The sequence below is a fragment of the Homo sapiens genome, chromosome 3, assembly GCF_000001405.40.
Source record: "Homo sapiens chromosome 3, GRCh38.p14 Primary Assembly".
In the NCBI taxonomy this organism is placed as follows: Eukaryota; Metazoa; Chordata; class Mammalia; order Primates; family Hominidae; genus Homo; species Homo sapiens.
The window spans coordinates 195,973,147-195,999,101 of record NC_000003.12 but is presented as its reverse complement, the minus strand read 5'-3'; the positions used below and the strand labels follow the sequence as shown (position 1 = coordinate 195,999,101).

General features: G+C 47.8%; 2 pseudogenes across 1 annotated transcript in view, besides 2 other annotated features; one reads left to right on the top strand and one right to left on the bottom strand.

Annotated features, from left to right (window-relative positions):
• LOC100131360 (serine/threonine-protein phosphatase 4 regulatory subunit 2-like) lies at window positions 2,252-2,592 on the bottom strand (annotated as a pseudogene).
• Window positions 8,611-8,910: a silencer, noted in NCBI's record as "silent region_15050". NCBI's record gives its function as "represses an Ori minimal core promoter by ATAC-STARR-seq in GM12878 lymphoblastoid cells {active_cell/tissue: GM12878}" and the evidence as "EXISTENCE:reporter gene assay evidence [ECO:0000049][PMID:35858748]".
• Window positions 8,823-25,955, top strand: part of SDHAP1 (SDHA pseudogene 1) — a 30,359-nt pseudogene continuing 13,226 nt past the window's right edge. Inside the window, exons 1-10 of the transcript NR_003264.2 lie at window positions 8,823-8,912; window positions 12,498-12,583; window positions 13,313-13,475; window positions 14,365-14,610; window positions 14,826-14,990; window positions 16,792-16,940; window positions 19,236-19,358; window positions 21,851-22,019; window positions 23,202-23,397; window positions 24,536-24,705. The product of NR_003264.2 is annotated as an SDHA pseudogene 1 (transcript). The remainder of the gene's footprint in view (window positions 8,913-12,497; window positions 12,584-13,312; window positions 13,476-14,364; window positions 14,611-14,825; window positions 14,991-16,791; window positions 16,941-19,235; window positions 19,359-21,850; window positions 22,020-23,201; window positions 23,398-24,535; window positions 24,706-25,955) is intronic.
• Window positions 9,248-9,407: a silencer, noted in NCBI's record as "silent region_15049". NCBI's record gives its function as "represses an Ori minimal core promoter by ATAC-STARR-seq in GM12878 lymphoblastoid cells {active_cell/tissue: GM12878}" and the evidence as "EXISTENCE:reporter gene assay evidence [ECO:0000049][PMID:35858748]".

Genomic DNA, 25,955 nt, shown 5'->3' with positions numbered 1-25,955 from the left:
ATTTGAGTGTGGTGCAGCTGGAGATCCAGGGATGAGATGGTCTTGCGGTTCAAATATGGGGGTCCCGGAGCTGGAATCTACGTGAGGAACCAATGCTGCCTCTGATGTCTTAGGTTGTGGAGCTGGGAACTCACGGAGGAGCTGGTATTGGTGTTTCTAGTTGAGGGTCGTGGTATTTCCAGGGTTTCACAAAGGCCAGATTTTATTTCAGTTACTCAGAAGAGAAAGAAAATGTCTTCTGAAAGAGGTGAACTCAGTCATTACCAATAGAAAAAGTATCCACTGTATTCATCTCTTATACAAACAGAAAAATATAACATTTTCCCCCTTAGAATAATATATATATATATACACAACTTAAGGTTCCATTGTATGTAGCCGAACAATACAATCTGGAAACCAGCATGAAACCCTATTATTCACATGTTAAAATGTTGAAACTATGACCAAAATATGAAAACTGCTAGAGCTATCAGAAAGACACAAGACAAAAAGCTTCTTGCATATGTATAAACTAAATGTGATAATCTCAAAAAACTGTTCAAAATTATAATTACTTTCCAGTTTAAAAACTTTAATCCTAAATTTTTAAAAAAAATCTATATACAAACCACTGATTTGCCCAGACCAAAAAAAGAAAGAAAGAAAGAAAGAAAGAAAGAAATCAGTGGTAACGTAAGCAGGACCCAGAGGAGCTGATATTCACAGTTCTTACATGGACAACTCTTTCAGGAATTATCCATAAAGTACTTTATTTTACAACCTGCTTTTCTTGTAAAACTAAAGGTGCGCGTTTTAACATAAAAGTTTTATACGGTGTTAAAACCAGAACTGTGTGTAAAATACTGCATGTAAATGTTTCTAAATAGTCTTGTTCCATTGGTTCATCGGTGACTTCTGTGGCTTCGTCATCATTTTCCATGGATGATTCTGAAAGAATCTCTCCAGTTTTACTGGAATTGGATCCTACTAATTCTTCTGTTTCACGGCAGTCAGAAGAACCACTACTTTCAGGGCCTTCGTTTTCACTACCTTCAGAATGTAGTAAATCTTTCTCAGCTTGAGACACATCAGATTCCTCCATTTCATTATTTTCCTCAGAAGTCTCTTCATTCACAGTTGAGGCATCATCAGATTCTTTTTCTTGTTTATTTCTTTCTGGGATCATTTCTCTTGATGTCATAAAAGACTCTAAAACTAAGCAAATGTTGTTGTACTTAAATTTTATTTTCAAAATACCTCCACAGTTAAGTTTCATGAATTCTGATGTTCTGTAGTTCAAATCACATCCCCTGAAATTCAGCAGCAACTGCATACAGGTGGGAGAAAAGCCCAGCGTCGGCATTACAAGGAGTTCCATGATGTACAGTTCTTTCACGAAAACAATGAATGCAAGAATTTGAGGATCTCCTTACTCCTCCCTTTTACAGATGGTCTCTCAATCCCTTCTTCTTCCTCTTCATCTTCTTCATCCTCTTCTGAACGCGCTGCCGGGTACCACGGCTTTCTTTGTCTTTATCATGGGATGAAGGTGATGCTTCTGTTTCTTCTACCACAACTGAAGAAATTTCGCTGCAAGTCGCTTGACTGGCTATTTCTCCGACTTCGCCTTTTTGTCAAACCTGAGTCTTTTTACCTCATGCCCCTCAGCTTCCACAGCATCTTCATCTGGATGTTTATTTCTCAAAGGGCTCACTGAGGAAACTTCTGATTCAGATGTCGAAGAGTCACTGTGAGTTTTCTCTTCATTTTGCTGCAAATTTGCCTCTTTGCTGTCTGTGCTATCAGGCCACCCATTTGTTGTCATGGGGGCTGACAGAGAAACCTTTGGTCGATTACGTGGCCTGGGTGTCCCAGGCCCATTTATATTAGACCTCTCAGTATAGCTTGGTGCATTTCCAGGAAACATCACACCATTCATTCGATTTAAACTATTGGAATTGTTTTTCTCTGAAGAAGGATAAACACAGCTAACAACCATCACGTTCTTTTCTACTCCTCTGAGAAATTTGTCTGTTCCTGTATAGTTTCTCCTTGGATCTGTTAACAATTCAATAGTCGCTGAATAGTAAAAGGGATACGGTTAAATCCAGTGACAGTTTTCAGTATTCTTCCCTTTGTTGCATCAAAGGGAATATATTCGACATTAGGGTTGGGAGGACCTCTTGGCACAGGAGCTGAAGTTCTGAAATCATCCATCACTTTCTCCAGTTTGAAAATAAAATAGCCTTTAAATTGGGACCACGGAATCTGTTTCTCCAGTCTTGGCTACATGACAAAGGAGCTGATCCAGGACAGGACAGACTTTCTTTTTCGCCTCTTCTCAAAATCTTCCAGTGCCTCCTGGAGCCTGTCGACGTCCATGGCTTCCCGGAGTCCCTCACAGCCTCCGCCTCCCTCCGCGGGTCTCTTGGGGACCGGAACGCCTCCCCCCACCCCCCGACGTCCTCCCACTCCCTCGCACACCCTCCAGCACGCAGGCCAAGTGGGGTGGGGGGGAACGAAGGGAGCCAGGGGAAGCGTGTGAGAGAGTGAGACCGACAGAGTGAGCACCTCCCCAAGCCGCTACCACCAGCCCTCCAACATGGCGCCTGGCACGTCACCCTAAAAAGTCATTTCTTGGAGAAGCGATGGATGACAGAGATTAATCTGAGAGTTACTATTAATGGAGAAACTTAGAACTTACCATTTTTCCTGTGAGGTTTCGGTGCTGATACTTCTATTCTGTGAGTTCTGGCAATTGTGTCCGTTCACCCAGCCTGGTGATGCAGCAGGTGTCACAGAAGGACCCTGTCCCAGCTGGTCCTGCTCCACTGCTAGGATGGTGTGGCCTCTGATCTGTGACCGTGTCTTGAGGGGAGACCAGGCCCTTGATCACAAGCGTATCCATGGTGAGGTTCCGTGGATGGAAGCTCATGGATGTTCCTTCCTGATGTTCATCTGCCACCTTGCTATTGAATGCATCCTGTTTATAACTGTCTTCTAAATATTGAATAGAAATAAAGCATTTGTACAGTATGGGTAAGGTATAAAGAATATTGACACATTGGACACAGAGGACCTCCACCAAGTTTAGGGAGGAGAATCTGAAGAGACATAGCTTTGGATGCTCCCTGGAGGCCCTGCCTGAGTCCCAGTCCCTTCCCTTCTCCTACGGAGGGAATCACTTCTTGCCTTAGTCTTTATTATTTGCACACTTTCCTTCATAGTACATTTCTTTCACCGTGTGTGTACATCCCTAAAAAATAAGCCATTTAGTTTTTGAACTTTCTGTTTTCTTTTTGAGGCAGGGTCTTGCTCTGTTGCCTCGGCTGTAGTTTTGAACTTTGACGTGAGGGAATTCTCCTGCGTGGCTGCTCCTGCACTGCATGGCTCTGAGCACCTGCTCTGTGTCTATTTTTGTCCTCCATTCTCTCCCTGAGACCCACCCACACTGACATGGCTCATTTTCATTGCTGCATGGTCTCCCGTCGTCTGAGGGGAGCATGGGAAATGTCTTCATCTTCCCGTGGATGAGGGTTTGGCCAGGTTGGGGCCCTTAGGACTGTGTTTTGTTGGGAACGTTCTTGGGCGTTTCTTTTGTACACAAGTGCAAGTTTCTTCTGGTCAGTAGCTTTCAAGTTTTAAAATTTCATCCCAGGTAAGAAATGTAATTTTCCTCATAACCCACAACACACACTCTTTCATATACAAGCATAGCAGAAATATACTTCACAAGCGTTCTTAGCAGTGCCTGGTGTTCCTGCTTCTCTCCATTCTCCCCAACACCTGCATGGATTGGGTGGTGGGATTTTTGCCCGTCTGGTGGGTGTCACATGATATCTCCCCCTGTTAGGCTGAGCCCCTCTTCATGTTTTCATTAGCCATTCCTCCACATTTCCTCTTCTGTGGAGGGCCGGTTCAGCTCTTTTGCCCAGTTTCTGTTAAGTTGTTTGAATTTTTGCACTTTTCCTTTATTATTCCTATTACTATGTTTTTGAGACAGAATATCACTCTGCCACCCAGGCTGGAGTGCAGTGGCGCGATCTCAGCTCACTGCAACCTCCATCTTCTGGGTTCAAATGATTCTCCTGCCTCAGCCTCCCAAGTGGCTGGGATTACAGGCACGCACCACCACGCCCAGCTAATTTTTATATGTTTACTACAGATGGGGTTTCACCATGTTGTCCAGGCTGGTCTGAAACTTCTGACCTCAGGTGATTCTCCCACCTCAGCCTCCCAAAGTGCTGGGATTATGTGGGTGGCAAGCCACCCAGGCACCGAGGCAAGAGACAGAGGACACGAGCTGTTCCAGTATAATAAAATATAAAACAAGAATAGTTATACCAGATATAGATCTTAGATATGATTATATATGAATATCATTAATCATTAGTTTGTAGCAATTACTTTTTATTCCAATATTATGATAATCCTTGCTCTATAATCGTAGCCTAGGAAAAACCAGGCCATACAGAGATAGGAGCTGAGGGGACATAGTGAGGTGTGACCAGAAGACAAGAGTGCGAACCTTCTGTTATGCCCGGACCGGGCCACCAGAGGGCTCCTTGGTCTAGCGGTGATGCCAGCGTCTGTGAAGACGCCCGTTACCAGGTGGATCGTGGTCCAGCGGTAGCAAAAGGTGTCAAGGAACAACACCCGATACTTAGCAGACCGGGAAAGAAGGGGGGGGCGGTCTCCCTTTCCCCAGGGGAGTTTAGAGAAGACTCTGCTCCTCCTCCTCTTGTGGAGGGCCTGACATCAGGCAGGCTCGCCTGCAGTTATCCGGAGGCCTAACCGTCTCCCTGTGATGCTGTGCTTCAGTGGTCACGCTCCTAGTCCGCCTTCATGTTTCATCCTGTACACCTGGCTCTGCCTTCTAGATAGCAGTAGTAAATTAGTAAAAATACTAATAGTCCCTGATATGCGGAAATAATGGCATAAGCTGTCTTTCTCTCTGTCTCCTCTCCCTCTCTGCCTCGGCTGCCAGGCAGGGAAGGGCCCCCTGTCCAGTGGACACGTGACCCACGTGACCTTACCTATCATTGGAGGTGACTCACATTCTTTACCCTGCCCCTTCTGCCTTGTATCCAATAAATAACAGCGCAGCCAGACATTCGGGGCACTACTGTTCTCCGTGCATTGGTGGTAGTGGTCCCCCGGGCCCAGCTGCCCTTTCTCTTATCTCTTTGTCTTGTGTCTTTATTTCTACACTCTCTCATCGCCGCACACAGGGAGAGACCCACCGACCCTGTGGGGCTGGTCCCTGCAGGGTTATAGGCATGAGCCACCATGCCCGGCCTGCTTTTTTCTTTTTCAAAAGGACTCTTTCTAGATTATACCTATTCATTCCGGTGACTATATATGGGGCAAAGATGGGTTTGAATCCACCAGGATAAACGTGCCGGATCTCCTCTCTGATGGAAGAAGAGACAGGGATAGAAGGGTACAGAGAATCAGAGCCAAGAGGAGGCCGAGTCAGGCGGGGGTTGCAGGCTGCTGTGAGGACTTGGCTGCTTCTCTGAGTCTGGTGGGATTAGCAGGGGATTTAAACAGAGGAACCGTGGGATCTCCCTTATGCATTTCTGCCATGGTTGGCTCAGCTGAACACACCTCTTGAGCAAGACTTGGTCTTGGACACCCAGAGGCCCTTGGTTGAGGGTTTACCTCCTGGTGTGGCCACTGACACATCCACGTTTGGCTCCCACACGGCTGGGCAGCCCCGAGACCTGCTGTGCCTGCACTTCTCATTGGTGGCATTTCTCAAGTTTGTCCCCTCTCAAGTCTGCCCCATCCGGAATACCAAACACCTCTCTCTCCTACATGGAAACCCCCGTCAGCACCTCCTCCTGACTCACAGGGCATCCCGTCAACATCACAGTCCCAACCTTCCCACATGGAGAAGCTCATGGGACCCCCGATGGACCAGGACAGTGCCAGCACTAAGACGTGCCCTGGAACTCACAGGAAGAGCGGACCAAGAAGCCAGGAACAGCACGGGGCACTGGGAGCTGCAAACGCCCACGATACTGTGAGAGACGGAGAAAGGTATGACAGGAGGAGCAGACCAAGAAGACGGGAACAGCACGGCGCACTGGGAGCTGCAAATGCCCACGATACCGTGAGAGATGGAGAAAGGTATGGCCATGGCGGTCACAAAATGTTACACAACATTTATTAAAGGCCTAAATGGAGAACCTAACGCTATCAAACCCTTAGGTAAAAACACAGGGGAAAATTCGTATGGCCTGGGGTTAGGCGAAAAGTTCTTAGACATGACACCAAAAGCATGATTCATAAGATTGACAAATTAAATGTAGTCATAAATTTAAAATTATAATTCTATAAAGCAATATAAAAATCCAAAGAGAATGAAACACAAACTATGGTCTAGAAATAAACATTTGTGAATCACACGTCTCACAACCTACTGGCACGCAGGATATATGAAGAACCATCAAAACTTAACCATAAGAAAGTAAAAACCCCAGTATTAAAGAGAGGGCCAATATTGGAATGGAGGCCTCATGAAAGAAGGTATAAGGAGGGCATATTGCCCGAGAAAGAGGCTCAACATCATAGAGATGCTGGAGAAATGCCAGTCAGCAGTACCTCTGCAAATCCATTAAAATGGCTAAAAACAGACAAAACCCATGGGCCAACCCAGGTTCTAGTGATGATGCAGAGGAACTGGGACCCTCATAAGCTGCAGTGGGAATGGGAGGGGTCCCGCCATGCTGGAAAGTGGTCCGGGAGTTTCTTAAGAAGTTAAGCACATCCTTACCATGTCATCCAGCAACCCCACTGCTGAAATGTCCCCCAAGGGAAAACTTAAACGTGCACACACAAACCTGCACACAAGTGTTTAGGCCTCATTCCTCATTGCCAATAACTGGAAGAAAACAAAATGTCCATCGGCAGGAGCAGGAGAAGGCGTGAACCAACGCGGATGCTTCCACATAGGGGACACCAACCAGCAGTGGAAAGATGCACCCAAATGCCCCAGGTCTCCCAGGCTACATGCCCGGTGAAGGAAGCTAGTTTCGGTGGCCACAGGCCGAAGGATGCCAACACATGACATCTTGGAGAAGACAGTGTACCGTGTCGGGGAGCAGGGCAGTGGTTTCGAGGGGCTACGGGTGGAGGGGCGAATGGAGGAGCTCTCTGGGGCGATGGCGTGAGCACCTGCACCTCACTGTGGGCTGCTGCGGCTGAGGGGCTGTACGGCAAACAGTGGCTTCAGTACATGCAGACTGAAGGAGGAAGGCTCCCACAACTCAGAGACAGAGGGTGTCGCCTCCATGAAACAAAAACATATTTAAAAAAAAAACCTCTTAAAATTAAGAAAAAAACCACAAAAAGTATTTCATAAGCGCATTGACTTTGAGTTGACATAATCTACCTGGGAGCATGGAACTGAAACCACAGGCTTGGCAATCCCGGAGGGAGAGGGTGGAGGGTTTAGACCTCAATTGAAGGGCTCAGTACCTGGCTATAGGAAATAACATTTAAAAAGCAGCAGGTGGAAATAATTTCTGCTGATGAGGTTGCATCTCTCCAGATAGCCGGCAGAGTAAATTAAAGCAATATAGTCTTGCTCTGTTGCCCAGGCTGGAGTGAAGTGGCGCCATCTCCGCTCACTGTAAGCTCCGCGGGAGAATCTCTTGAACCCTGGAGGCAGACGTTGCGGTGAGCCGAGATCCCGCCATTCCACTCCAGCCTGGGCAACAAGAGCGAAACTCCGTCTCAAACCAAACAAAATTAGGTAACTAACCCAGGACTAAAACAGCATAACTTTAAAAAAATAAGTCTAGGAGGTATGATGTTCATTCCCTGCAAGCCAATAAAGGCCACGTCTGGGGCATACATCTAAAAAAAATAATCCTAAAGAGAAAGTTATGGTCACAAATATGTTCTGTACGGTGTTATTAAGAGCAAAAATAGGAAACAACCCAAATATCAATAAAATGGGACCGAACCCTTGCAAATTTACTAAAATAACTCAAAATTGTTAAACATGATGCACAAGACGAAGATTTTAATAAAGTGAAAAGGCAGGAAACATAATTACTAATGATTATTGGTTTATTTTTCATGCCACTTCATTCCACAAAAAGATTTCAGGTATCTTACAAAAAGACACACTAGAAATATTAAAATACTATCTGAACCAGAAGCAGAATCAGGGTAAGCTAGCAGAAAGGCGTATGAGCCAAAGGGATCTACCCAGCTTTCAAAGCTGACCACGGCCGTGCGCAGTGGCTCTGTCTGTAATCCCCGCACTTCGGGAGACCGAGGAGGGAGGATCGCTTGAGGCCACAAGTTCGAGACCAGCCTGGGCAACAGAGCAAGATTCCCGCCTCTACCAAAAATTTAAAAATCAGCCGGAAGCCAGAGGCTAGGGACATGGCTGAGGATCGCTCCCGCCCCTCGGAGGCCAGAAACCGAGGGTCACTCCCGCTCCCTAGAGGCCGGAGGCCCCGGGCCGCTCCCGCCCACCTCCGCGGACGAGCGCCGCCCCTTCGACCCCATTCCCTGAGGTCTGGACGTTCAGGCCCTCTCGGTCTGGGAGATCCCGGAGAACCACCCACGGGGCTTTAAAAAAAGTTGGTGCCCAACATCTCCCCGAAATAGGGCCCGCCCTATCTCGGTCGGGGAGCGCGGGACCTCCGTGGCCACCCAGCGCCACGGTCCGCGGGTCCGCTTTGCGCAGGCGCGGCGTCCCCGCCCATTAGACCCCGGCCCGGGCGTCGCGTGGTGCGCAGGCGCAATGTCCCCCACTAGCGCCCCGCCTTGACCCGGCCGTGGTGCGCAGGCGCAGTCTGCGCAGGGACTGGCGGGACTGCGCGGCGGCGACTACAGACGTGTCGGGGGTCCGGGGCCTGTCGCGGTTGCCAAGCGCTCGGCGCCTGGCGCTGGCGCTGGCCAAGGCGGTGAGTCCCTGCCGCGGACCGGGGCAGGGCAGGCGGGGGGCGAGGCGGCGGTAGGAGCGGGACGGTCCCCAGCGGGTCCGAGCGGAGCGGGCGCCGGGTCCCCGCGCCCCCTGCCCGGGGATCGGGAAGGGGCTGGGAGAGCCCTGGGCCGGTGCGAGGGGGAGCCGCGGAGTGTACTCGGGGGCCTGGGGAGCTCGGTCCTTAGCAGGTAGGCCGCGTCCCGGTGAAGGTCGCGACCCCGCGGGCTTGCTGGGCGTCCCCTCCGCCGCTTTGGTCCGGGCCTGGGGTCCGGCGACCTCGCGGGCTGAGGTAGCCCCTCGCCTCTGCCTGGCGGGTGGACTCGGGGAGGAGTCGTGTCTGCCCAGGGTCACCGGGGTGGAGTCCTGGCTGGGCCGGGCCTCTGCCGCCGTCTGTGAGGGTTGTCCTGCGGGGCCGCCCGCAGCCCGTGGGTGGGGCCGGCGGGGCGGGTGAAACCGCCCGGGTGGGTGCGAGGAGTGGCCGGGCTCGGCCGGGTGGGTGTCCGGTGGGAAGCGCGGCGCGCCCGAGCTTGGGCTTGCAGTTCCCCTTTCCAGAGAGCGCAAATCTGTGCATGTCCACTTCGGGATCTTGGAAGTTAAGGACCTGTACTTTGGGTCCCGTTTGGTGGCCCTTGTGCCACAAAAATGTGCCGGTGTTTAAAAGCAGCTGTGCCAGTTTTTAAAAATCAGACGGAGAGCTCAGGGCACTGACCGAGCGAGGACTCCAGGACCTGTGCTTGCCTGTGCGCTGAGTACCTCGAGGGCCGGGCTCGGCTTAGTCCAGGATGATGGTCAGGGTTATACTTCCCTGAGCCCTTGCTCTCTGAGTGTCTGAGTGTGCCCTCTACGATTGCATCTTCAGAATCGGCCTTCTAGGATTTTATTTAATCAAGCGAAATTGGATAGGTTTAGTTGTTTGGTTCTTTTAAATGAACTTAGCCACCCACCTCTTAATTACAAAGTAATTTTAAATTGCAGAGTAAAAATCTCAATAGGAACCAAGGCATTCAGCAATAGTGATTTGAATTATGCCTGTGATTGTGCAATTTTCTCCTTTTTGAAATAGTTATTGAAAATCTCTTTGAATTAAATGTGAGGATTAGTCATACAGCCATCCTGTCAACATCGGAAAGCGTGTAAACCGTTCTAGCGTGTTGCTGTGGTTGGTGCTGACCAAGCAGAGACCCCCGCCGCATCTTGGGCTCTTAGGAGCTGCTGGGAGGGCGTCCACAAGCAGGAGGTGAAGCCCATGGTCAGTGGGACTTTTTAGGGGCACTGGTAGCTTGTGGTTGGAGAGAAGCTAGATAGAGCCAGTGCCTTTGTCCCCAACCCAGATGGTGCCCAGTGTTCCTTCTGCAGACTAAGGCCCCAGGCACCTCAGACCAGATGGCAAGATAGCAAAATGGAACCAAAATTTAGTCTTGGGTTTTGTAAAAGTCTTTTTATCTTGATGAAGGTAGCTTTTCCTACAGAAAGTCGTGCGTTTTTGGGTTCTTCGTTGGCTGCTTTTGTGATTGTGTAGGTTGTACATGCAGATTCGTTTCTTGCTCATGATTTATAGGTGCATTTTATTCGATGAGGACCCCTTACTTTGCTAGATTTCGGATATGAATGTCTCTGCACTTGTTACTTTTCCCCCTCCACCTCCTGATTCAGTCATCTGAAATTCTGTATTGTTAAGCAAGGTCTAAGTATTCCTTTTAGTTATATGTTCCCCATTTTTTTTCTTAGAGGAAATGTTTGATAGTTTCTCCTAAAAAATTAATAATTGGCACAAAAGACTAGTTTTGTGTCAAAAGTAGTTTTGAGTTTTATCTAAAGACTGACATTGACTTGAAGTTGGGCTTTCCAGATTCAAATATCTGCCCCAGATGAGATTTAGATGCAGAGGGTTAGTGTCCTTTTCCCCAGGGGGATGGCGTGATGATTTGTTCAAGATTGTGTTATAGTAGCTGCCCCTTTTAAGCCAGCTGTGTGTGTGTGGTGGGGGGTGGGCAGTGTGTATTCCACATCAACATCCTAGAAAGAACGAATAAACATTTAGTGATCTCACTGTTTCTACTTACATTTGGTATAATGTACTGTTTTTATTGGTGCTATTACCTATGTTAATGGGGCACTTTACAAAATTTTCAAGAACGTTTTTATTAAAATTATTTCAAAGACTTCTTTCTTAAAATATGATTTTACCATGTAAAAAATTATACTAAGGTAGAAGAATATTCGTTCTTTCTCATTTTCTGAAAAAAGAAAAAACTAAATTAGCTTATGTCAATAAAAACAGACTAGAAATTGGAGAAATGAAGAATAATTTTTTATCCCACATAATAAGTAATTTGTGAATTGCAAGTATTTCTAAATACTTGAAGACATCCCTCACATCCCCTCTTCTGATTGCTGAGTGCATAATTTCCTAAAGCTTTTTTTTTTCTTTTGTTTTTTGGAGACATTGTCTCGCTCTGTCGCCCAGGCCGGAGTACAGTGGCACAGTCTCGGCTCACTGCAACCTCTGCCTCCTGGGTTCAAGCGATTCTCCTGCCTCAGCTTCCCAAGTAGCTGGGATTACAGGTGCCCGCCACCACGACCAGCTAATTTTTAGTAGAGAGGGGGTTTTGCCATGTTGGCCAGACTGGTCTCGAACTCCTGACTTCAGGTGATCTGCCCACCTTGGCCTCCCAAAATGCTGGGATTACAGGCATGAGCCACCGCGCCCAGCCCCTAAAACTATTCTTGATGATATTTCTGAGACTATTCAGTGGTCTTCTAAAATGCCGCCAGCAGAATGGAAAACGTATCCCCTAAATGGCTGGCCAACCTTAGCATATGGGACAGTGTGACCTCTCTCACACAGAGCCACTAAAAACTAAACACTAAAACCAGTTTTCTTGAGTAAAGGTTTCTAAGATGGAAAATTTAAGCAGCGAGATATGTCAAGTTGTAGACGTTGGCCAGGAAAAAGCCAGCAGCAACCAGGCAGGGGAGAGTGTGCATCCGACATCCTCCTGTGTGATGAAGGGATGACACCTCTTCCCTCTGGGCTGTCAGCCTTTACTGTTGCAGGATACAGATCTCCTGATTCAGGTGTCCAGTGCCTTTTGAACTGACCGCAAGCCCTCCTGGACGATTGGAACTGTAATGTGGAAAGGGCTCTGATGGAGCCGGTTAAAATGCTTCATTATTTGCAAAATACCACATACAGTAATACGATCTGGATGTCTTTCCCCTCCTCCACTAAGTAGCATAAGTGAAGACTTCCCAGAGGAAGTGCGTCTTTTTCATCTCGTATCTGAGTCAGTGAGTATCCTTTTTGGAAACAAGCTTCATCCTGGTTTTCTAGAGTGCCAAGCCAGGGTGGAAAGGAGGACCTGGGGGCTCAGTCCTTCCTTGCCCCTTGGGCTGCCCTTCAGGGTTAAGTAGAGGGTCCCAGCTGAGCTCTCTGGATGCACAGGAGCACCTGGGTACATAAGAAGGTGAACAGTTTGCAAGGGGAAGTTTGAATTACTATCCCCCACAGCATTTGTTCCTTCAGGACACTAACCCTCTGGATCTGTGTCTTCTGTGTCTCCAGTGGCCAACAGTGTTGCAAACAGGAACCCGAGGTGTTCACTTCACTGTTGAAGGAACGAGAGGGCATCTGCTAAAGTTTCAGATTCCGTAAGTTCATGCTTTTTGTTCCATTATAAATGATTTTTTTGGCTTGGGGGTAAGGATCTATACCAGTTTGTTTTCATATGAGTCATAGACATAAGGGAAAAATTTCTCATAGGTATCCAATGCATGCTGAAATTATTTTCAGTGTAATAATACTTAATTGCAAGTACAAATATAAACATAGATGTTAACATTTTTACTTGTATCTGTTATGTATCTATAAATTAGATTTAAATTTAGGTCAAGTAAAGCAATAAATTAAAATGAACAGTATCTGCTGTGATAGATGATAAAATCCTACTGAAAAGAGGACCGTGGGGCCCTTCCGGTGTGGGTTCCTTGGTATTGAGTGTGCCTGTTCTCTCTCTGTTGGAAAACTGAAACGTGCTGAGAAGTTCTTTTCTCATAAGCTCACAATAGCGACTGAATGCTCCTTGGCACCTTCTCAGGCATAAGCATAGGCACGGCCCTGAAGTAGAGTTGTGGTCCTCAGTCTGATCCCATGGAATAGACCCTCTACCATTCATAGAATCTGATTATCAGTCCCTTCTCCAGGTGCGAATGTGCCTACTTCTCCCCGCACTGTTCAGGGCTCAGCCCCAGGACAGGATGGAGGCCCTGTGTGCCCAGCAGTTGCTCCTTTTATCTTTGTCAAGCTCTTTCACTGGCACAAGAGTCTTCATGTTTGGCATAGTGGAACCTGTGATTGACAGGTGAATTTTTCTTTTCCAGATTTCTGCTCAGTATCCAGTAGTGGATCATGAATTTGATGCAGTGGTGGTAGGCGCTGGAGGGGCCGGCTTTGCGAGCTGCATTTGGCCTTTCCGAGGCAGAGTTTGATACAGCATGTGTTACCAAGCTGTTTCCTACCAGGTCACACACTGTTGCAGCGCAGGTAAGAGAAAGGTGCCCCACTGTGCTCCCACTCCGTGCAGGTCCCGCGCAGCCTCGCACTTTCTACCTGGGCAGCCTCCTGCCTCCTCCCCGTGCTCCAGCCACTTGGCCTCTTGCTGTGCCTTACTCAGCTCACCCATTCAGGGGTCTCTCCCTGGAGCCTCTTCCCTGGGGACTTTGAAGGGCGGGAGCCTTGTTGTCACTCTTAATTCAGACTCCAGTCACACTTGGGTTTTCTCTGACCATCTACCCTCCCCACCCACCCCTGCCACCCCAACACCTTAAGAAAAGGAGATCATCTAAAGAGGAGGATTCAGAATTTAGGTTGGGGAAGAAAAGGGCAAGGGTTTCATTTGTCCCTGTGCTGCTGTCTTCTGGGACTCTCTGAGGGGTAAGACGGTGGTGGGCACACACAGCCAAAGGAAGTAGGGGTACAGGGGAGTGCGACTCTGAGTATGGAGTTTATTACTTGGCAGGAAGCACTTCTGATCTTTAACACATGCCCGTAAATGCCGTTGGGAAGATTTGTTAATAAAATTATGCGGAGAGATTCATGGAGTACCTTTTCTGTGCCAGATACGTTAGGTAATAAGCATATTACAGGTAGCCTTTCACTCACTGCTCCAGTCAGCCCTTCCTGGAGTTCCCTCTGTCTCCACCACACAGATGAGGAGACTGAGGCTAAGGGATGGAATCACTGGGTGAGTCTGGGAGGGGTTGTGATCTGGAATCTGTCAGGCCTGGCTGCTCCTCTGCTGAGGTCAGCCCTCACTGGGAGTCACCGCGTGAGTAGTTGGCTTTCTCTGAATCCCCCAGCGGGTGGATTTGGGCCTGGAAGACAAAGCTGGGGTTCCTGTTTGTGGCTTGTAAGGAGTGGTTGGTGTTTCCAGGTTGGAATCAATGCTGCTCTGGGGAACATGGAGGAGGACAACTGGAGGTGGCATTTCTATGACACCGTGAAGGGCTCCGACTGGCTGGGGGACCAGGATGCCATCCACTACGTGACGGAGCAGGCCCCCACTGCCATGGTCGCGGTGATGGGCGGGAGGCTCTGGGTGCTCTGGTGGTCTGTTTCTAGTACAAGAGTCCTGGAAAAAATGTAAGCAGTTGAGGCAGATGTGGCAGCCGAAAGAATGGTGATTAGCAAAGCTCACAGAGAAGTCTTTGTCCGTCATGAACTATGTATTACATGTAATAAGAAAAACTTCTCTTTGATGAAGTGTTGACATTTTCATAAAATAGGTTAATTTGGGTTTGCAGATTTGTATTAAAGTTGTTTAGTGTAGATTAGCTGTGAATATCTTGACTCCTTTAGGTTAATAAGGCTTTTGTTTGTTTTTATCTTTCACAGGTAGAAAATTATGGCATGCCGTTTAGCAGAACTGAAGATGGGAAGATTTATCAGCGTGCATTTGGCGGACACAGCCTCAAGTTTGGAAAGGGCGGGCAGGCCCATGGGTGCTGCTGTGTGGCTGATCGGACCGGCCACTCAATATTGCACACCTTATACGGGAGGGTAAGGCCGCCCCCCGTCCACCTGAGACAGGACACGTAGTGCTGGGGCTTGTGGTGACAGCGGGGAATGGGTTAGCGTGCCCAGTGAGTCAGCCAGAGATTGCGTAAAAAGCAACAGAGAACAGCGGTGTGGGGCACATGCAGCGACTGTGGATGTGACAGGAGCAGGCGTGTGCCTTGAGAAGCTGCCCCTAAGGCAATGTGTGAGTTGTTGCCTCTATGTTGGGAAGTTGAATTGATAATCTTATATACCAGGTTTTCACTTGGGATATGTGACACTCAGCATGTAAGAACAGAGCAAGCAGGCCAGGCACAGTGGCCCACGTCTGTAATCCCAGCACTTTAGGAGGCCAAGGCAGGAGGATCACTTGAGACCAGTCTGGAGAACATAGCGAGACCCTGTCTCTACAGAAAGTTTAAAAAGTAGCTGAGCATGGTGGTACATGCTTGTAATCCCAGTTACTCAGGAGGCTGAGGCAGGAGGATCACTTGAGACAGTGAGCCATGTTCATACCACTGCACTCCAGCCTGAGCAACAGGAGACCTGTCTCAAAAAAAGACAAAGAAGAAGTATTTTAAGGCTCTTTTACCACCTCTGAGTTCCTGAATGGATTGGTTTGGTTTGTTTGTTTTGTTTTGCTTTGTTTTTGAGACGGAGTCTCACTCTCACCCAGGCTGGAGTGCAGTGGCGCGATCTCTGCTCACTGCAACCTCTGCCTCCCGGGTTCAAGCGATTCTCCTGCCTCAGCCTCCAGAGTAGCTGGGACTACAGGTGCACGCCGCCACGCCTTGCTGATTTTTTGTATTTTAGTAGAGACAGGGTTTCCCATGTTGCCCAGGCTGCTCCCGAACTCCTGAGCTCAGGCAGTCCACCCACCTCGGCCTCCCAAAGTGCTGGGATTACAGGCGTGAGCTACCACACCCGGCCATGGATTGTTTTAATATTAACTGTTATCACTGGACAAAGACTTGAGGTGACAATAGTGACTGGGTAATCAGGGTCAACTTTGGCATGACCAAATAATATCCTGAACAGTATTGATTCAGAGTAATCCATGTTCTGAGCTTTGTTGTTTTCTGATGCGTGGGGACGGATCAGTAATGTGCAGGTTGTTAGAACACCAGTGACTTCTCTGTGGCTGAGTGCATCGACAAGTGTGTGGTGGGAGGAGACGGCGGCTCCGTCCGGAGCAGGAGCTGTCATGTGGGGAGCTGGCCCAGGCTCATGAGAGCAACTTGCGCTGGCTGAGGGAACGGCAGGTCCAGGCGGGCAGCGCTGTCTGGCGCCTCCCTTTCTGCGGTGCCGGAATCTGCTTGTCTGCGACCGTCCGCTTTGGTAGCTGCCAGCCACATGGGGCTGTTGCTAATGTGGCAGGTGTAGCTGAAGAGCTGAATGTTTTGACTTATTTTAATTAATTAAGTGGTTATGTGTTGCCAGTAGCTCCCATCTGGGCTGTGACCCCATGGTCTGCGGACCTCACTCTGGCACCAGACTCCGAGTGGAGCTGCATGCTGCCACTGGACAGTGTGGAGTGCCTCTTCGGGTTGTGTAGAAGTAGGAAATGTGTCACCAACATAGGAGCTGTTGCTGCTGCGTTCTCTAGCACACCTGCCTTGTTGGTACTGCTGGGCGTGGAATGCCTCTCGGGCTCTGACAGTGTCATTGACACTCTTGCTGATCTCCTTGGATTTACCTGGTCCATTTGGATCAAGTTCTTTCACCTATTCACATGAGCAGATACCACCTTAAAACCTTAAAGGTTGGCTTAACACTTCTTGCCCTTTTTTTTTCTTTCTTTTAGTCTCTGCGATATGATACCAGCTGTTTTGTGGAGTATTTTGCCTTGGATCTCCTGATGGAGAATGGGGAGTGCCGTGGTGTCTTCGCACTGTGCATACAGGACGGGTCCATCCATCGCATAAGAGCAAAGAATACTATTGTTGCCACAGGGTAGGAATCTAATTTCTACTTTATTTCCTTTGTAAAAATGAATAAATTCCATTTAGAGTGTCTTTATTTTAAGGAAAATAGAGGCATTGTAGAATAGCAGTTCAGACACAGGCCTTGATATAACCGTGTGAGGGTGATGGCCTTTCCCAGCCGTGGTTCCTCACCTGTAAAGGGTGAGGACAGCAGCACCTGCCTCAGGGGGTGAGAAAGCATGGCCCTCAGTAGTCGGTAGTGGCTGCCGTCAGGTTCACAGCGTACCTCTCCCGATTTTAGATGAGGAAACTGTGGCCCGAAGAGTCACATGGGGTTTTCTGGCAAAATCCCTCTTGTTTTAGTGGGTTCTATGTTTATACTGATTCCTGGGATAGATAAGTCTGTCTTCTCCACATAATGAAAATAAAAAACTTTAATTTTATACAGTGGCAGTTACTTTAGCCACTTTAAAAGTTAAGAAGTGTCAGTACAGCCAAGAAAAAAAATCAGCAAAACTACAGGTTGGGAAAAAAATATTTTCCAAACCATATATCTAATGATATCTTAGTATCTAAAATAGCAAAAAAAATAAAAAATAAAAAAAAGCCCTACTAAAACCAACCTACTAAACCCTACTAAAAAACAACCCTACTAAAAATGGGCAAAGGACTTGAATAGATATTTTTCCAGAGAAGACATACAAATGGCCAGTTGATGTATGAAAAAATGCTCAACATCACCAAGCACCAGAGAAATGCAAATTAAAACCCCAATGAGTATCATCTCATCTCGCTCCAGTTAGAGTGGCTGTTACCAAGAGGACAAAAGATAGTGTTGGTGAGGATGTGGAGAAAAGGGAACCCTGTGTGCTGTTGGTGGGAATGTAAATTAGTACAACTATTGTGGAAAACTCTGGAGGTTCCTCAAAAGTCACAGGACTACCATGTGCTCCAGCAACCTCATTTCTGGGTGTATATCCAAAGGGCATGAAATCAGAAGCTCAAAGAGACACCTGGACCCCCATGTTCATTGCAGCGTTATTCACAATACCCGAGATATGGAAACAACCTAAAAATTTTTGGTGTTTAATGACAATGTGGTGTGTGTACACAACTGAATATTATTCAGCTATGAAAACGAAGGAAATCCTGTCATGTGTGACAACGTGGATGAACCCAAAGTCATTATGTTAAGTGAAACGACCCAGGCACAGAAAGACAGATACTGCATGTCACTCATATGTGGATCTAAAACTGTCACAACTCACAGAAACAGAGTAGGACAGTGGTTGCCAGGGGCTGGGGGAATGCAGACTGTGGCGATGCTGATTAAAGGTGTAACTTCCCGTCACAAGGTGAAGTTCTGAAGGTCTGATAAACAGCATGGTGGCTAGAGTTAATGTTATAGAGCATGGTGGCCAGAGTTAACATTATACAGCATGGTGGCTACAGTTAAAATCATACAGTACGGTGGCTATCATTAATATAACTTGAAATTTGCGAAGAGAGTAGACCTTAGGTGTCTGTATCTCCAAAAAAAAAGGATAATTGTATGAGGTGATAGATGTGTATTAAGTTGATTGTGTCATCAGTTCACAAAATAAATCATCACGTTGTACACCTTAAATATATACAGTATTGTTTTTTGTTTAATTCATCAATCATACCTCAGTAAATCTGGGGGAAAAAAACAAAATCCATAAAAATTTTAAAATTTTCATTATAAAAGTAGTATATGCTTACTGGGGAAACCTTTTGAACAGCACAAATCTAAAATACAAACAGGGCCAGACGCATAGTGGCTCATGCCTGTAATCCCAGCACTTTGGGAGGCCGAAGTGGGTGGATCACCTGAGGTCAGGAGTTCGAGACCAGCGTGGCCAACATGGCGAAACCCAGTCTCTACTAAAAATACAAAAATCAATTGGATGTGGTGGTGCACACCTGTAATCCCAGGTACTTGGGAGGCTGAGGCAGAAGAATCACTTGAACTTGGGAGCCTGAGGTTGCCGTGAGCCGAGATTGTGCCACCGTACTCCAGCCTGGGCGACAAGAGTTAGACCCTATCTCAAAATAAATAAATAAAATATAAATGGAAGTCTCTTCTCTGATCCCAGGCTTCTATCCTACCTGCGCAGGGTAGCAGCACCACTGGCATGGCCCCCAGTGATGTGTGTGGGGTGTGCGTGAGTTGGGGGTTGTGTGCACACAGCACTGAGAAGATGGTGCCCGGGGGCTGCCCTGTCCGTTCTGTGATCTCATTAGACAGGAGGTCCGGACGTGGGCCACTGTGTGCAGTCACTGCTCTCTGTTGTTTCCATAGGCTACTGGCGCAACTACTTGAGCTGCACGTCTGCCCACACCAGCACCAGCGACGGCACGGCCATGATCACCAGGGCAGGCCTTCCTTGCCAGGACCTCGAGTTTGTTCAGTTCCACCCCACAGGTAGGGCAGGACGCCTTGCCCGGAAAGCGTTCGGCTCGTGTGTCTTGTAAGCGTGTGGTGCCTACTCATTGCTCTTCCATAGTTTTATGTAATAACATGGTTTTGAAGATCAGCTTCCTTAGCTCTCAGGTCCTAACTTCAATGTCATTTCCTTAAGGAGACTTTTCCCACACTCCCCTTCCTCTAAGGCAGTTTGGGCCACCATCTTATGCATTTCTCAAGAGCCCTAAACCCTGCCTTGGTGATACTTATGCCAGCAGTAAAGCAGGGATTGAGGCCGGGCATGGTGGCTCACGCCTGTAATCCCAGCACTTTGGGAGGCCAAGGCAGGTGGATCACCTGAGGTCAGGAGTTCAAGACCAGCCTGCGCAACATGGTGAAACCTCATCTCTACTAAACATAAAAAAATCAGCTGGGCATGGTGGCATGCACCTGTGATCCCAGCTACTTGGGAGGCTGAGGCGGGAGGAATGCTTGAACCTGGGAGGCAGAGGTTGCAGTGAGCCGAGATCGCACCACTGCGCTCCAGCCTGGGCAACAGAGTAAGACTTCGTCTGAAAAAAAAAAAAAAAAAAAAGTAAAGCAGGAATTGTTCAGTGTCCCTCTTTGCAGTGAGGTCGTCAGCAATTCGGGCAGGCAGGTCTTCTCATTAACTGGGGTGCTCCACGCCCAGCACATGGTAGGGTCTCCATCGGGGTTTACTGAGTGAGCATTCTGAGAGCTGGGTGAATGCTGTGGAACCAAGAAGCAGCACAGGCAGATTTCAGCTTTGTAGGACAACACAGAGCTTCCGTGACAATGGGATGTAAAGTTAAGACACAGCCATGAGAGAACCCCATGTGACGTTGGGCGCTGGGCTCAGCCCCCGTGACCACTGAGGGAGCTTGTCGTGGGGAAGATGAGCTTGTCTTGGGGACGTCTGACGGTTGAGGTTACGAATGTGCAATTTGGAGACATTAACTCAGAAATGACAGTTGAAGTCTTGAGTTTGGAGGAGGTTCTTCAAAATGAGTCAGAGACAGACACACACACGTCTGCCTCTTGTTTGAGGTGACTCGTCCTGGACTTTTCTGGGTTGCTTTTCTGACCTGTGGACGATGGAGACCCCTGAAGTGGTGCCAAAGAACCAGACCTGTGTCTTTTCTTTCTCTGTCAGTGTCAGCTTTCTGATCCCTGGAAGGGATGAAAATAAGAAATGGATTTGTTGTAGGTTTTTTTTTTTAATTTGTTTAGAGATGGGGTCTTGCTCTGTTGCCCAGGCTGGAGTGCAGTGGAGCAATCTCGACTCACTGCAGCCTTTGTCTCCCAGGCTCAAACGATCCTTCCACCTCAGCCTCCCAAATAGCTGGGACTACAGGCATGTGTTAGCATGCCCAGCTAATTTTTGAGGGTTTTTTTGTTTTTGGTAGAGACAGGGTGTCACCATTTTAAGCCCAGGCTGGTCTCAAACGCCAGGGCTTAGGCGATCCTCCTGCCTCGGCCCCTCAGGGTGCTGGCATTATAGCCATGAGCCACTGCACCCGGCCTGTTGTATTTTTTATTACTGTTTTTAATCAGTAAAATGTCAGTGAGCCCCTGAATTCCCTCTGTAATTTGCTTAGAGCTCCACTTCTCATGCTTTGTCTTCAATATGTGAGAAGTAACCACAGAAAAGAGAGCATGGAAACTTAGAAAATCAAAAGGCAGGTGAGATGCAAGAATCACATTCTTGTTTTGAAAGCAAGATTGCCCTTTTTGTATACTAATAAAAATTGTAGCTTTTGAAATACATTTAGTTTAGGGTTTTTGATCTCCTTTGTTAAAATTCGAGAGCTTGGCACGCCCTGTTTCTCATCGCACTGAGGAGTCACAGAGCCGCTGTTTGGGGCACAGACCGCCGGACTGCCCAGGTTTGGGTTTGAGCTCTGTCCTCAGCTGCATGACTGGATGTTACCAAGCGTTAATTTGCTTGTCACTGAGAAAGGGGGTCGTACTACCCAGAGTTGTTGTAAGACTTAAATGAGTTTAATATGTGGAAAGCAGCTAGAACTGCCCATAGCAAGTGCAGTGTAAAGATGAACTAAAATAATCATTATTACTGTCCTTGCCACTGTTTGGGTAACTTAGATATGAATTCTCCAAGCTAGTATTCTTAACTAGTCACCACAGTATCGTAGCGCAAAAGAATGTTCAAAAATTAAAACAAAATTTGAGGCATCCAACGTACACCGGGCTGTAATCAGAGTATTGGCCAGAGGTCTGTGGGCCGGCCTTTCTCCTCTCTGGGGACGCCACTCTGCCCCAGCCTCTGCTGCAGCTGTCAGCCTTGTCAGTGCTTTTTGTTATCCAGACTTTCTACTGTATCTTAACTGTTCTTTCTGTTCAGTTTTGCATATAATGCCTTCTGCATATCTTTTTTGTCTCTCCCCCAAAAAATATCTTGTAAAAAAAAGTAATGCATTTGAAATAGAGACCCAGCAATTGTTAGGTTATAAATGTGTGGTTTTTTGCAGGCACATATGGTGCTGGTTGTCTCATTACGGAAGGATGTCGTGGAGAGGGAGGCATTCTCATTAACAGTCAAGGCGAAAGGTTTATGGAGCGATACGCCCCCATCGCGAAGGACCTGGCGTCTAGAGATGTGGTGTCTCGGTGGATGACTCTGGAGATCCGCGAAGGAAGGTGCGTGTGGTTTACCACCAGCACTGTCTGAGCGGGCACACGGGCCGGGGTTGCTTCTGTGAGTTTCAGCACCACTCGCCCTCACCTTCGTGTGCAGGCACATGTGCACAGCCACCTCTCTCAGCTGCCGGCAGGCATCTGTTAGTCTGCGATATTTTCCTAAAGACCTACATTTTGAAAATTTTAGCCAGTTTCTTTCTCAAATCTGTGGAACAGAGTTTCTCTTAGTGTGTGTGAGTATGTGACGGAGTATGGAAGAGAGAGACACGCACCCAACCTGAAGTCGGCGTGTGAGCCTTGGGTGTGGTGTCTGATACCCACAGATGTTTTTCGACAGCTTTCAAAGTGTGTGGGTCATTTGCCTTTCAGAAGAACAGTTTGCAGCTCTTTCATTGCCTGACCCTGTTCTTTAATGTGATAACACTTGCTAAATATCTGCTGGTATCTGGTGTGGCCTTTAGAGGTTTTACATTTTTATATTAAAAAAAAAAGAAGTCGGATGGTTTTTTGGAATATGGTGGCCCTCCGTATCCATCGGTTCCACATGTGTGGTTTCAACCAACTATGTACTGAAAATAAAATTGCATCCTTACAAACACGCAGACTTTTTTTTTTCCTTGTCATTGTTCGCTAAGCAACACAGTGTAGCAGCTATTTACCTGCATTTACATTGTATTAGGTACTATGAGTAATCCTGGAGTTGCTGTACAACTTAAATGTAAAACTTGAAATGAGGATGATTTAAAATATGGAGGAGGATGTGCATAGGTTATATGCAAATACTCTGCCATTTTATATTAGGGACTTGAGCATCCACGGATTTTGGTGTCCGTGGGGGTCCTGGACCCAACCTGCCACGGATACGCAGGGACGACTATTTGGCATAGAGGCCTAATGCTTTTACCAAGGACAGCCGCTGCAGGCTGTGATCCCTGAGACGAGTGTGAGTTCAGTAAGGGCAGAGTATTTGTTCTGGTTCTCAGCTGTGTCCCAGCACCTAGGATTGTCCCTGGCACACAGTAGATGCTTAGAAAAGATTTGATGGGAGGGTGGCCGTACATGAGGGGAAATTTTCCTCAGTATCAAAACATGTTGCAACTCACACGCTTCCAAGATGACGTATTCTCAGGTCTGCTGCCGTTGCCATTCTCTGCCTTATGTGATGGTGTTCTGTCTTACCAGAGGCTGTGGCCCTGAGAAAGATCACGTCTACCTGCAGCTGCACCACCTACCTCCAGAGCAGCTGGCCATGCCCTTGCCCGGCATTTCAGAGACAGCCATGATCTTCGCTGGTGTGGACGTCACGAAGGAGCCGATCCCTGTCCTCCCCACCGTGCATTATAACATGGACGGCATTCCCACCAGCTACGAGGGGCAGGTGATGGTGCTGGCTTCTCTCCCACAGCTGGAAAGAAGGCTGGGACAACGGGGCCCATCTTGCAGTTGTCTCTTTAGATCTTAGAGGAAGAGACAGATGTTTCCTTAAAGAAAGTACTGTATTGTTTTCTAAATTGCACTTGAAATTTCTATCAGTGGAGGATGGAAGGAGGCTTAATAATTTATTCCTCCTAAGTAAACTGTCATAGATACATCATTTGCAGCTTTTCCCATTTTATAATTACTTTCCTATATGATCTTGTGTTATTTCTAATGAGCTTATACATCAAGGGATCTTTATAATTGCTATTTCTAATGATCTTGTACATCGAGGGATCTTTATAATTCATACCTTTGAGTGGTTTGCGGTTCACACAGAGCTTGTCAGTCACTTAGCCTCCTTGTTGGGCGAGGTGGGTGGAAGCTGTTACTTTCCCCGCATAGATGAAGAGGTGAACAGGGGGTAGAAGAGTCTGGAACATCAGTCTCCCCTGCTGATGTTCCTCCACCTGCCGTGCTCCTGGGTCTGAGCTGGAGCACAGGTGGTGAGGGCCTCGGGAACATGGGACACGGGGGACAGTCGCAGATGCTGACATTGGAGGTCCTCTGACCTGCTTGTAACAGCAGGTGCTCAGGGGCAGAGGGGAAACTGGGGTATACATTCGGAAGTTTCCCTCTGAAGAAGAGTAGCTATGGTCCTTACTTCCTTCTTAGATACGGTCTTTACTTCCGTCTCTTTGTTTCTTGGAGATGGAGACTCGCTCTGTCACTTAGGCTGGAGTGCAATGGCGCGATCTCGCCTCACTGCAACCTCCGCCTCCCAGGTTCAAGCGATTCTTCTGCCTCAGCCTCCCGAGTAGCTGGGATTACAGGCACCCGCCATCATGCCTGGCTAATTTTTGTATTTTTAGTTGAGACGGGGTTTCACCATGTTAGCCAGACAGTTCTCGAACCCCTGAACTCAGGTGATCCACCCGCCTCAGCCTCCCAAAGTGCTGGGATTACAAGCGTGAGCCACTGCATGCCCGACCTACTTCCCTCTCTTTCTCTGACCTGCAGCACAGACACCCTGTTGAGGGAGGTGGGCTTGTGGAGGAATGGGCATCTTGACATTTCACCTGAAATCTTCCTTTCCACAGGTCCTGAGGCACGGGAATGGCCAGGATCAGATTGTGCCCGGCCTGTACGCCTGTGGGGAGGCCGCCTGTGCCTCTGCACATGGTGTCAACCGCCTCGGGGCAAACTCGCTATTGGACCTGGTTGTCTGGTCAGGCATGTGCCCTGAGCATCGCAGAGTCGTGCAGGCCTGGTAAGTGTTTTCTTCAGGACCCAGACTATTTGAGAAGGCGCAGGAGGTTAGTCTTTTTTCTTTTTTTTTGAGACAGGGTCTTAGTGCCCTGTTCTTAGGGCGCGAAGAACAGGACAGTTAGCATCGTTCCCACCTCCAGAGATCCTCACGGTTGTTATGCAGCCTCGTGTGCTCAGAACAGTGTGAGGTGGATGAGGCACTGGTGGATGTTTGCGTGGCAAGGATGGTGGGACCCCAGGCCCATGTTCTTCCCGTTAGCTTTCTCTGGTGTTAACTGTTTAGCATCATTTCTGCTGTTTTTATAGAACAGGCGCTTTTTGCTTTTTGTATGGACTCAAGTGAAATAAAAACTAGCACCGCCGTACCTTATAAACGTGCGCCCTTTTCTATCTGTAGTTAGAAAGGTACAGGCAGTATTAAAAGGGTAGCTACTTCAGACACTGTGTCTCTGTGGATCTGACGACAGCTCAGGAGGCCAGCACATGCAGAGCCGGCGTCTCATCCCCAGCCGTTGCTGATCATCGGCGAAGGCGGGGTTCAGGTGCCTCGTTCCTGACGCCACAGGTTGTGCTTGTCTCACTCCATAGCCCTGCACTTTGTCGCAGTGAGGTCTGATACCACTTCTCTCAGAGCAGTGTAGAAATTTTGAGCTTCTCTTTCTTTGAAAATGCAGAAAAGAACATTTTGTGAGAATACCCTATACTTGACATCTGAGAAACCGCTCACACATGCAGCATCTCACGCAGAATGCTGTGGAGTCGGACTCAAAAGGCTGCACGCCTGTGGTCCTATTGATAGGACATTCTGGACAAGGCACATCTAGGGAAGAAAAGGGATTGGTGGTTGCCAGAGGCTGTTTCCTGATTGTGCTGAGGCTTACAGACACAGCTCTGTGTGTGTCAAAGTTTGAAAAACCTGCATTAAAAATGATGAGTTTATTTTACTGTATCTTTACGCTTTAATTTTTAAAAATGAAAAGGAAAGAAAAAATGCTTGTAGCATCCCTACTTCTCCCCCAACCCCCGACCCCCCCAAAAAATATATATATGTGTATTTTTAGACATAGTCTCCCTCTGTCACCCAGGCTTGAGTGCAGTGGTACGATCAGGTGCACGCCACCACATCTGGCTAATTTTTAAAAATGTATTCTAGGGACAGGGTCTCCCTGTGTTGCCCAGGGTGGTCTTGAACTCCTGACCTCAAGTGATCCTCCTGTCTCAGCCTCCCAAAGTGGTTACATGCATCTATCC